At 39.8% G+C, this 12,474-nt stretch overlaps 1 protein-coding gene across 8 annotated transcripts in view; it reads right to left on the bottom strand.

Moving 5' to 3' along the window:
- The window catches only part of PPP2R3A (protein phosphatase 2 regulatory subunit B''alpha), a 182,167-nt gene that overhangs the window by 29,759 nt on the left and 139,934 nt on the right, over positions 1 to 12,474 (bottom strand). For all 8 annotated transcript variants that reach the window (NM_002718.5, XM_017006787.3, NM_001190447.2 and 5 more), the window contains one exon: positions 11,814 to 11,920. In NM_002718.5, the coding sequence (NP_002709.2) occupies positions 11,814 to 11,920 (107 nt within the window). The remainder of the gene's footprint in view (positions 1 to 11,813; positions 11,921 to 12,474) is intronic.

Here is a 12,474-nt window from a genome sequence, read left to right as displayed (position 1 = left end):
AACCATGCGGTTTTTGTCACTGGTTCTGTTTATGTGATGGAATTACATTTACTGTTTTGCATATGTTGAACCAGCCTTGCATCCCAGGGATGAGGCCCACTTGATCATGGTGGATAAGCTTTCTGATGTGCTGCTGGATTCAGTTTGCCAGTATTTTATTGAGGATTTTCGCATCGATGTTCATCAGGAATACTGGCCTGAGATTCTCTTTTTTTGTTGTGTCTCTGGCAGGCTTTGGTATCAGGATGATGCTGGCCTCATAAAATCAGTTAAGGAGGATTCCCTCTTTTTCTATTGATTGGAATAGTTTCAGAAGGAACGGTACCAGCTCCTCTTTGTACCTCTGGTAGAATTCGGCTGTTAATCTGTCTGGTCCTGGACATTTTTTGGTTTGTAGGGTATTAATTACTGCCTCAATTTCAGAAGTTATTGGTCTATTCAGGGATTCAACTTCTTCCTGGTTTAGACTTGGGAGGGTGTATGTGTCCAGGAATTTATCCATTTCTTCTAGATTTTCTAGTTTATTTGCATAGAGGTGTTTATACTATTCTCTGACAGTAGTTTGTATTTCTGTGGGATCGGTGGTGATATCCCCTTTATCATTTTTTATTGCATCTATTTGACTCTTCTCTCTTTTCTTCTTTATTAGTCTGGCTAGAGGTCTATTTTGTTGATTTTTTCAAAAAACCAGCTCCTGGATTCATTGATTTTTCGAAGGGCTTTTCATGTCTCTATCTCTTTCAGTTCTGCTCTGATCTTACTTATTTCTTGGCTTCTGCTAGCTTTTTGTTTGCTCTTGCTTCTCTAGTTCTTTTAATTGTGATGTTAGGGTGTCGATTTTGGATCTTTCCTGCTTTCTCTTGTGGGCATTTAGTGCTATGAATTTCCCTCTATACACTGCTTTAAATGTGTCCCAGAGATTCTGGTACTTTGTGTCTTTGTTCTCATTGGTTTCAAAGAACATCTTTATTTCTGCCTTCATTTCGTTATTTACCCAGTAGTCATTCAGGAGAAGGTTGTTTAGTTTCCATGTAGTTGTGAGGTTTGAGTGAGTTTCTTAATCCCGAGTTCTAATTTGATTGCACTGTGGTCTGAGAGATAGTTTGTTGTGATTTCTGTTCTTTTACATTTGCTGAGGAGTGCTTTACTTCCAATTATGTGGTCAATTGTAGAATAAGTGCGATGTGGTGTTGAGGAGAATGTATATTCTGTTGATTTGGGGTGGAGAGTTCCGTAGATGTTGCTTAGGTCCACTTGGTCCAGAGCTGAGTTCAAGTCCTGAATATCCTTGTTAATTTTTGGTCTTGTTGATCTAATACTGACATTGGGGTGTTAAAGTGTCCCACTATTATTGTGTGGGAGTCTAAGTCTCTTTGTAGGTCTCTGAGAACTTGCTTAATGAATCTGGGTGCTCCTGTATTGGGTGCATATATATTTACGACAGTCAGCTCTTCTTGTTGCACTGATCCCTTTACCATCATGTAATGACCTTCTTTGTCTCTTTTGATCTTTGTTGGTTTAAAGTCTGTTTTATCAGAGACTAGGATTGGAACTCCTGCTTCTTTCTGCTTTCCATTTGCTTGGTAAATATTCCTCCATCCTTTTACTTTTGAGCCTATATGTGTCTTTGCACATGAGATGGGTCTCCTGAATACAGCATACCAATGGGTCTTGACTCTATCCAATTTGCCAGTCTGTGTCTTTTAACTGGGGCATTTAGCCCATTTACATTTAAGGTTAATATTGTTATGTGTGAATCTGATCCTGTCATTATGATGCTAGCTAGTTATTTTGTCCGTTAGTTGATGCAGTTTCTTTGTAGTGTCGATGGTCTTTACAATTTGGTATGTTTTTGCAGTGGCTGGTACCGGTTGTTCCTCTCCATGTTTAGTGCTTCCTTCAGGAGCTCTTTTAGGGCAGGCCTGGTGGTGACAAAATCTCTCAGCATTTGCTTGTCTGTAAAGGATTTTATTTCTCTTTCGCTTGTGAAGCTCAGTTTGGCTGGATATGAAATTCTGGGTTGAAAATTCGTTAAGAATGTTGAATATCAGTCCCCACTTTCTTCTTCTGGCTTGTAGGGTTTCTGCAGAGATCTGCTGTTGGTTTGATGGGCTTCCCTTTGTGGGTAACCAGACTTTTCTCTCTGGCTGCCCTTAACATTTTTTCCTTCATTTCAGCCTTGGTGAATTTGACGCTTACAAGTCTCGGGGTTGCTCTTCTCAAGGGGTATCTTTGTGGTGTTCTCTGTATTTCCTGAATTTGAATGTTGGCCTGTCTTGCTAGGTTTGGAAAGTTCTCCTGGATAATATCCTGAAGAGTGTTTTCCAACTTGGTTCCATTCTCCCCGTCACTTTCAGGTTCACCAATCAAACGTAGATCTGGTCTTTTCACATAGTCCCATATTTCTTGGAGACTTTGTTCGTTCCTTTTCATTCTTTTTTTCTCTAATCTTCTTGTTTTATTTCATTAAGCTGATCTTCAATGTCTGATATCCTTTCTTCTGCTTGGTCGATTTGGCTACTGATAGTTGTATATGCTTCACGAGGTTCTTGTGCTGTGTGTTTCAGCTCCATCAGGTCATTTATGTTGTTCTTTAGGCTGGTTATTCTAGTTAGCAATTCATCTACCCTTTTTTAAAGGTTCTTAGCTTCCTTGCATTGGGTTAGAACAAGTTCCTTTGGTTTGGAGCAGTTTGTTATTACCCACCTTCTGAAGCCTACTTCTGTCAGTTCGTCAAACTAATTCTCTGTCCAGTTTTGTTCCCTTGCTGGCAAGGAGTTGTGATCCTTTGGAGGAGAAGAGGCCTTCTGGTTTTTGGAATTTTCAGCCTCTTTGCACTAGTTTCTCCCCATCTTTGTGGATTTATCTACCTTTGGTCTTTGGTGTTGGTGACCTTTGGATGGGGTCTCTGAGTAGACATGCTATTCTTTTCTGTTTGTTAGTTTTCCTTCTAACAGTCAGGCCCCTCTGCTGCAGGTGTGCTGGAGTTTGCTGGAGGTCCACTCTAGACTCTTTGCTTGGGTATCATCAGCGGAGGCTGCAGAACAGCAAAGATTGCTGCCTATTCTTTCCTCTGGAAGCTTCGTCCCAGATGGACACCCGCCAGATGCCAGCCAGAACTCTCCTGTATGAGGTGTCTGTTGGCCCCTACTGGGAGGTGTCTCCCAGTCAGGATACCTGGAGGTCAGGGACCCACTTGAGGAGGCAGTCTCAAACGTTGTGCTGGGAGGTCTGCTGCTCTCTTCAGAGCCATCAGGCAGGGATGTTTAAGTCTTTTGAAGCTGCGCCCACAGTTGCCCCTTCCCCCACATGCTCTATCCCAGGGAAATGGGAGTTTCATCTCTAAGTCCCTGACTGTAGTTGCTGCCTTTTTTTCCAGAGATGCCCTGCCCAGAGAGGAGCAATCTAGAGAGGCAGTCTGGCCACAGCAGCCTTGGTGAGCTGCGGTGCGCTCCCACTTCAAACTTCCCAGTGCTTTGTTTACACTGTGAGGGTAAAACCACATACTCAAGCCTCAGCAATGCTGGACCCCCCTCCCTGCATCAAGCTGGAGTGTTCCAGGTTGACCTCAGACTGTTGTGCTGGCAGCAAGAATTTCAAGCCAGTGGATCTTAGTTTGCTGGGTTCTGTGGGGGTGGGACCCACTGAGCCAGACCACTTGGCTCCCTGGGTTGAGCCCCCTTCCAGGGGAGTGAATGGTTTTGTCTTGCTGGCATTCCAAGCACCACTGGGGTATGGGGAAAAACAAAACAAAACAAAAAAAACAACAACTCCTGAAGCTCGGTGTCTGCCTGAATGGCTGCCCAGTTTTGTGCTTGAAACTCAGGGCCCTGGTGGTGTAGGCACTGGAGAGAATCTCCTGGTCTGTGGGTAGTGAAGACTGTGGGAAAAGCACAGTATCTGGCCGGAGTGTACCATTCCTCAGGCACAATCCCTCATGACTTCCCTTGGGTAGGGGAGAGAATTCCCTGATCCCTTCTGCTTCCTGGGTGAGGCGATGCCCCACCCTGCTTCGGGTCACCCTCCATGGGCTGCACCTACTGTCCAACCAGTCCCAATGAGATGAACTGGGTACCTCAGCGGGGAATGCAGAAATCACCTGCCTTCTGTGTCGATCTGGCTGGGAGCTGCAGACTGGAGCTACTCCTATTTGGCCATCTTGCCAGCAATTCCAGAAGCTCTTTAATTAGGCCCCACTTGTCTACTTTTGTTTTTGTTGCAGATGCTTTTGGAGACTTCATCATGAAATCTTTGCCAAGGCCTATGTCGAGAATGTTATTTCCCAGGTTTTCTTCTAGTTTTAGGTCTTACATTTAAGTCTCTCTCTTTTTTTTTTTTTCTGACACAGGGTCTTGCTCTGTTGCCCAGGCTGGAGTGCAGTGGTGCGATCTCAACTCACTGCAACCTTCACTTCCCAGGTTCAAGTGCTTCTTGTGCCTCAGCCTCCTGAGTAGCTGAGATTACAGGCAAGTGCTACCACACTGTTTTGTTTTTGTTTGGTATTTTTAGTAGAGATAGGGTTTTGCCATGTTGACCAGGCTAGTCTCGAACTCCTAGCCTCAAGTGATCCTCCCGCCTTGGCCTCCCAAAAAGTGCTGGGATTACAAGCATGAGTCACCATGGCCAGCCTTACATTTAAGTCTTTATTCTATCTTGCATTGACTTTTGTATATGGTGAAAGGAAGGGGTCCAGTTTCAATCTAATGCATATGATTAGCCAGCACCATTTATTGAATAGGGAGTTCTTTCCTCATTGCTTACTATCAACTTTGTCAAAAAACAGGTGGTTGTAGGTGTGCTTCATTTTTGAGTTCTCTAATCTGTTCCACTGGTGTTCCATATAATCTTGTTCCACGCAGTCTGTGTGTCTGTTTTTGTATCAGCACCATGCTGTTTTGGTTACTGCAGCCTTGTAGTATAGTTTGAATTGGGTAGTGTGATGCTCCTGGCTTTGTTGTTTTGCTTTGGGTTGCTCTGGCTATTCGGGCTTTTTTTGTTTCATATGATTTTTTTTTTCTTTTGTTGCCCAGGTTGGAGTGCAGTGGTGTGATCCCAGCTCACTGCAACCTCCACCTCCTGGGCTCAAGCGATTTTCCTGCCTCAGCCTCCCGAGTAGCTGGCATTACAGGTGTCTGCCACCACACCTGGCTCATTTTTGTAGTTTTAGTAGAGACGGGGTTTTATCATGTTGGCCAGGCTGGTCTTGAACTCCTGACCTCAGGTGATCCACCTGCCTCAGCCTCCCAAAGTGCTGGGATTACAGGCATGAGCCACCGCGCCCAGCTTCATATGAATTTTGTAATAGTTTTTTTCAAATTCTTTGAAAAATGATGTTGGTAGTATGATAGGAATAGCACTGAATCTGTAGATTGCTTTGGGTAGTATGCCCATGTTAACAATATTGATTCTTCCTGTCCACGAGCACAATGGGCAGCATGGTCATTTTAACAATATTGATTCTTGCTATCCATGAGCATAGAATGTTTTTCCATTTTTTAATGTTGTCTGTGATTTCTTTTGGCAGTGATTTGTAATTACTGTTGTAGAGAGATCTTTCACATCCCTTATTCCCAGGTATCTTATTCTTTTTGTGGCTATTGCAAATGGGATTGTGCTCTTCATTTGGCTCTCAGCTTGAATGCTGTTGGTGTATAGAAATGCTGCTGATTTTTGTACACTGATTTTGTATCCTGAAACCTTACTGAAGTCGTTTATCAGATCTAGGAGCCTTTGGGTAGATACTATGGGTTTTCTAGGTATAGAATTATATCATCTGCAAAGACGGATAGCTTGACTTTCTCTCTTCCTATTTTGATGAGTTTTCTTTCTGTTCCCTGATTGCTCTGGATAGGACTTCCATCACTATGTTGAATAGCAGTGGTGAGAATGGGCATATTTATCTTCTTCTGGGTCTCAAGGGGAATGCTTCCAGCTTTTGCCCATTCATTGTGACGCTGGCTGTGGGTTTGTCATAGATGGCCCTTATTATTTTGAGGTATGTTCCTTAGATGCCAGTTTGTTGAGGGTTTTTAACATGAAGGGGTGCTGAATTTTATCAAAAGCCTTTTCTGTGTCCATTAAGATGACCATGTGGTTTTTGTTTTTTGTTCTATTCATGTGACGAATTGCATTTATTGGTTTGCATATGTTGAACCAACCTCGTATCCCAGGAATAAAGCCTACATGATTGTGGTGGATTAGCTTTTTGATGTGCTGCTGAATTTAATTTGCTACTATTTTGTTGTGGGTTTTTGTGTGTATGTTCATCAAGGATATTGGCCTGAAGTTTTTTTTATTGTGTCTGCCAGGTTTTAGTATCAGAATGATGCTATCCTCACAGAATGAGTTAGAGAGGAGTCCCTCCTTGATTTTTTGAAATAATTTCAGCAGGATTGGTACCAGCTCTTCTTTATACATCTGGAAGAATTTGGCTGTGAATCTGTCTAGTCCAGGGTTTTATCTGATTGGTAGTTTTTTTTTTTTAATTACTGATCAAGTTCAGAACTCATTACTGGTCTGTTCAGTGTTTCGGTTTATTCCTGGTTCAATCTTAGGAGGTTGTATGTTTTCAGGAATTTATCAATTTCTTCTAAGTTTTCTAGTTTGTATGTATGAAGAAGTTTGGCTTATTGCTACTTTGAGCGGAGTTTAGGTAACTTGCCACCAGAAGAATGCTGATTAATGTACTTTCAAGTAGTTTGAGTTTTTACTCAATTTTTTTCAGTTAATAACCTTTTTCTGAAACTGATATGAAAGTTTTCCATTTTATTTTTATTCTTCTAGTGAAAATATCTTAAATTTTTAACAGACATACTTTAACCATTGTTGGAGAAATACAACTTTATCAATGTCTATATTTCTCTACTCTTATACAAATAAGAACCATAGGATATTACTCCAATTCCTTTTTCTCTCTTATATATCTGTGATCAATACTTATTTAGTCCTAAGAATAATTTTTACTATTTTTATTGCTCACAATTGCTTCTTTCCTCCCACTGTTTCCTCTAGGATCCATTTACCTTCTTGCTGAAGAATATCATTTAATATTTGTTTCAGAGATATTCTGTGGTATACTTTTTGCACCTCTTTTTACAAGCCTGAAAATGTCTTTATTTGTCCCTCACATTTGAGTAAGAACAGAATTTTAGGTTTGTAGTTATTTTTTTTGCAGTACTTGAATAATTTTGTTCCATTTCTTTTTGTGTACACTTTATGGATAATGTTTTTTTCTTTCTGGTAGATCTTCAGACCTTTCCTATCTTTCGTATTCTGAAATTTCACTCACAGAGGTTGACAACTATAGTCTGTGGGCCAAACCTATCTTGCCATCTGCTTTGGTACAGCCTGTGAGCTAAAAATAGTTTTACATTTTTAAGTTTGAAAAACAAAAGAATATTTGTGACATGAAAATAATATGAAATGAATAGCTCAGTGTCTGTTACTAAAGTTTTATTGGAACATAGCCACATACACTTGCTTACATATTATCAATGGCTGCTTAGTTGTGGCAGAGGCCCACAAAGCCTCAAGTATTTATAACTGGTTAGAAAAAAATTGCTGATTCCTTCTCCTGTGTATCTTTTTATTTGCTCAAACAACTAAAATTCTCGGAATTATTAAGCTATTATTTCTATTGCTTCCAAAGAGGATTTCTTACGCCAGTATCCCAAATCAAAAACTTTTCAGTTTTTTCCATTCTATTATTCAGTCCAATGGCTGCATTTTTTTTTTAATAAAACTTTCATTTCTAAGAAACTGGTTCTAGTGTTGGTTTAGGAGTGTGATATTCTCTCTTATTCCTTTGAAAATAGTAAATATGCTCATTTTGATGTCTTGTTCTGATTGTGTCTCCTTCCAAGGGTATAAGTTCTTCCATTTGTTGAGTATTTCATTGATATTTCTTAACTGTTTGATATTTGTCCACCTTTTAAGTAGTTGAGAACAGACTGCTGCTTCTGTTCTCACTGGCTGCTTAGGAAGGGGCGGTGGGGTTGTTGGGGTTTTTAATGAGAACAGGGATATGAGTTGGGGACAGAATGAGATGGGATGTGATATGTTGCTGAGGTGTAGCTATTTCAGTGACTGGGCTTTCTCTGTTCCAAGCTCCATAGTCAGGGCTTTTGTCTTTCCTTTAGGGGTAGGGTGGGATATACAGGAGTTGACCTACCTAGACACATCTTCTTCTGGTCTTCTTCTTGCTATTGGTTTCAGTCAAATTCAGGTAGAGATCATTAAGTGCTACTCCCATTACCTGTCTAATTATTTTATACATTCTACTATGAAGAATCTAAGCTGCTGGCTCCTTCATTTTGATCCCATCTGCTTTCCTTCTTTTAGTGGCCCGCTGAAAGTTTCTCTTCTAAGTGATATTCTGTATTTCTTACTTTTATGTGGTTTGAAACTGAAAACTATAGCATACTTTCAGTTTAACTCAGATGCTGAGTCTAATGCTGGTCTATATTACTATATTAATGCTAGTTTTTAGAAGTCCACTGAAGTGTTGTTTGTGGCCTAATATGTATTTTGTAAATGATCTATGAACATAAACCACAAAGGTATTTTTATCTATCTTAAGGGAATACTTTACTGTGTCTTCAAGTAATAGGTTTCAATTTCTCCTTTTTTGTTTTTGCTTTAAAAATCTGATGTTATCAAGACAGTTTTTTTGGGGGTCTTAATTATTTTTATATTCAACCTTTGTTGTTGTCATTCAATAATTGAATCTTTTTATTTTGATAAGTGACTTTATTCCTTTTACATTCACTGATCTAGAAATATTTGCGTTAGTTCTGGCATCTTTAGTTTATGCCGCATGGTCTGTGTTTTTCTTTTGTGTGTACATGTTTTCTGATTTAATTAGAATAGTTAGTCTGGCTTTAGTTTTGTAACAGCTTATTATAATTTTCTTAAACCCCAACTTATCAGCTTTTGAGAGCATCTGTTGAGACCCTGCTAATGAAACTTACACATATATTTACTTCCTCATTTTTACATCTTCAGTTACACTATTTTTTTCTTATGGAATATTATGTTCTGCTCTCTTTTAATGCCCATAGTTGTTTAGCCTCATTTCTACATTTAAATGGATTGAATGCTCACTATTATTTCTTTTCTACCATGGCTGCTCATTTCCGGCTTTTTATTTTGGCTTGTCTCTTGGTTTTATGATTATGTACTTTTTAAAGAAGAGCTCCTGGGTACTATATAATCTCTAGTTCTCGTATGTTTGACAATATCTATCAGCATCTTTATGCTTGAATACCATCTTGGCTTGGTCTAAAATTCTTGGGTATAGAGCTTCTTTCTCTGAGGAAGTTGCAAACATTGTTTCATGGTCTTTCAGTATTCAATTTTACTGAGGCATGCTGATTTATTTATTTATTTATTTACCAGTTGTCTGGTGACTTGAATTTTTAAAACTGGAAAAAAAAAACCCAATGATAAACCTTTATTCATCCTTGAGTTCTAGTAAATTCACAATGCAAATCTGGGGTCCATCACTATTCATTATCAGTATTTCCTGGATATGGCGTGATTTCTGACCTTTCCTATTCAGGTTTTCTTTTATTTCAAAAAAGCTTTCCTATTGTCTTTTAATATACTTTACTATTTCATATATTCTTTTGTCTAAAACACATAAATAAGATCCCATTTGCTTTCCTTACCTATACCTAATTTTCTTTTGGATACTTTTTTTGTTTCTTTTCTATTACATTTTACTTGATCTTTCATAGTCTTCTTCCTCATCCCGTTTTTCCTAATTAAAGTCCAGAAGTACACATCCACAAAATGATTTTAATGCTTAATGGAACTGTACTGGGTACATGTAGTATAATTTTATTAATCTTCCCATTAGATACCTAGATTGCCTCCAAATTTTCACTATTATAAACATCCACACTTGCTGTGTGTGTGTGTGTCAGGGTCTAGCTAGCTCTGCAGGCCAGGCTGGAGTGCAATGGCATAATCTCAGCTCACTGCAGCCTCTGCCTCCCATACTCAAGTGATCCTCCCACCTCAGCCTCCTGAGTAGCTGGGACTACAGGCACACACCATCACACCTGGCTAACTTTTGTATTTTTTGTAGAGATGGGGTTTCGCCACATTGCCCAGGCTGGTCTCGAACTCCTGGGCTCAAGTGATCTGTTTGCCTCAGCCTCCCAAAGTGCTGGGATTACAGCCATGAGTGACTGCGCCTGGCCAATCCACACATATTCTTAACTGCAGCATTGTTGCTTCTTAAGATTGGTATGCTAACCCTAATTCCTAGTATGGAAGCTCAATGCCAAAAAAACCTTTAAATCATGCTTGTGAATCCATTTTCCTATATTCTGATGCAGTCAGGCTTAAGATACTGAGTGCACGATGAATGATTTTAAGGGTTTCCAGGTCACTGCCATAAAAATGAAATCCTAGTTTTGTGGCTAAGCAGGTTAAAGAAATCTCTCAGTGAAAGAAAGCTCTTTGCTGATGGCTTGTTCAGCACCCTCAAAAAAGATAATATTTAATGAATGGTAGAGGTATAAAATGGTACAATCTATATTGAGGACTATTTGACTTTATCTATGGGGCTGGATAGTTTCTGTTTATCCCTCTAGACCTGCTCTTCCTCTATCTCTATGCCTCAGGAGGCTGACCTGAATGGACCACATCAGAGACCACATTTGAGACTGTCTCAAAAAAAAAAAAAAAAAAAAAAAAGAATTCATGTATCTTTCTAAATATACATAGATAGGTGGAGAGAGAGGCTCTTTGGAAGAGTAAGCAAGAACATGATGACACTTGTTGCTTCTGGGGAGGAGAAGTGGGTAGTAGGAAACTTTTTACTATTTCTTTTGTTTCTTTGAATATTATATGAATAGTGCCTGTTCAAAAAGTACACTACATTAATGAGAAAGATTAATTGAGGCCTTTACAGAAGCTATGACTAAGGAAGAATTAGAAGAATTACAAAAGGAGTTACTAGAAGATGATGGAAAAAACCAGCAAATTATAAAGTTGCTGAAGTGATCCAAGGAGTCAAATTCTTGGATAATTAAATTTCTTAACATGGTCCCTTTATGGAATTATGCCCTGACTAGTAGAAATACATGTAGAAGTTACTTCCTGCACAAAACCATGTATAATAAAGATTTGTTCTAAACATGATCATCTTTATTATTATTGAAGGAGCTTTAGTTTTTTTTTTTTTTTTTTTTTTTTTTTTGGAGACGGAGTTTTGCTCTTGTTGCCCAAGCTGGAGTGCAATGGCATGATCTCGGCTCACTGCAACCTCTGCCTCCCGGGTAAAAGCCGATTCTCCTGCCTCAGCCTTCCAAGTAGCTGGGATTACAGGCATGCACCACCATACCCGGCTAATTTTTTTGTATTTTTAGTGGAGACAGGGTTTCTCCATGTTGGTCAGGCTGGTTTCAAACTCCCGACCTCTGGTTATCCACCCGCCTCGGCCTCCCAAAGTGCTGAGATTACAGGCGTGAGCCACCGTGCCCGGCCAGAGCTTTAGTTCTTTTAGCCTCCTCCTTTATGTACAGGGTTTATCAATATCACTAAAACAGTAGTTTGATTGTTCAGTGATCTCGGTTTCCAGTGAAAGATGAGACTCATTAAAGGAAATGGACATGAGAAGACTCTGTCAGGAAATGAGTGAAGATTGCTGGAAAAAATAATCATTTAACTAAAGTTGGCTAAATCACATTTTTATGCTATTCAAAAATGGAAAAAACAGAAAAGGATTTTGTAAGGGGGTTTTAATACTCTGGACATGCGCATTCCTGTTAAAAATTCTATAAGACATAGGGAAACTTACTCACCCTTCCTGGAATTGTGCTTGGGCAGATTCCTCTGCAACAAGCGTCTCATACTCCTCAGCGGCAAACCGGTCCCAGTCTGAGGGCTCAGGCCCATCGTTCTCAACATCCTGATTGGAAAGAAGACAGCCACGAGAAATAAAAAAAATCAAAGACAAAGAATTGGAGATAGATCATCACACAAATGTATACTGCTGAAAAAATCCTACCTGAAAAATGTTTCATTTCAACAGGTTTAAAAGAGGTGCTAAGGTAAAACTCCTAAGGTAATTTTCTACACCTCAAATGGCAAAATTATAACTGTTTAGCAGCCAGGTTTTTTAGGTATAGATTCCATTTTTTTCTTTTTTCTTTTTTTTTCTTTTTGAGATAGAATCTCACTCTGTCACCCAGGCTGGAGTATAGTGGCACGATCTCGGCTCACTGCAGCCTCTGCCTCCTGGGTTCAAGCAATTCTCCTGCCTCAGCCTCCCAAGTAGCTGGGACTACAGGCAAGTACCACCACGTCCAGCTAATTTTTGTATTTTGTAGAGACAGGGTTTCGCCATGTTGGCCAGGCTGGTCTCGAACTCCTGACCTCAGGTGATCTGCCCGCCTCAGCGTCCCAAAGTGCTGGGATTACAGGTGTGAGCCACCGTGGCTGGCTGATTCCAACTCTTTTTTT

This window comes from Homo sapiens, chromosome 3 (genome assembly GCF_000001405.40).
Source record: "Homo sapiens chromosome 3, GRCh38.p14 Primary Assembly".
Taxonomy (NCBI): domain Eukaryota; kingdom Metazoa; phylum Chordata; class Mammalia; order Primates; family Hominidae; genus Homo; species Homo sapiens.
This window is presented reverse-complemented; position numbering and strand designations above follow the sequence as displayed.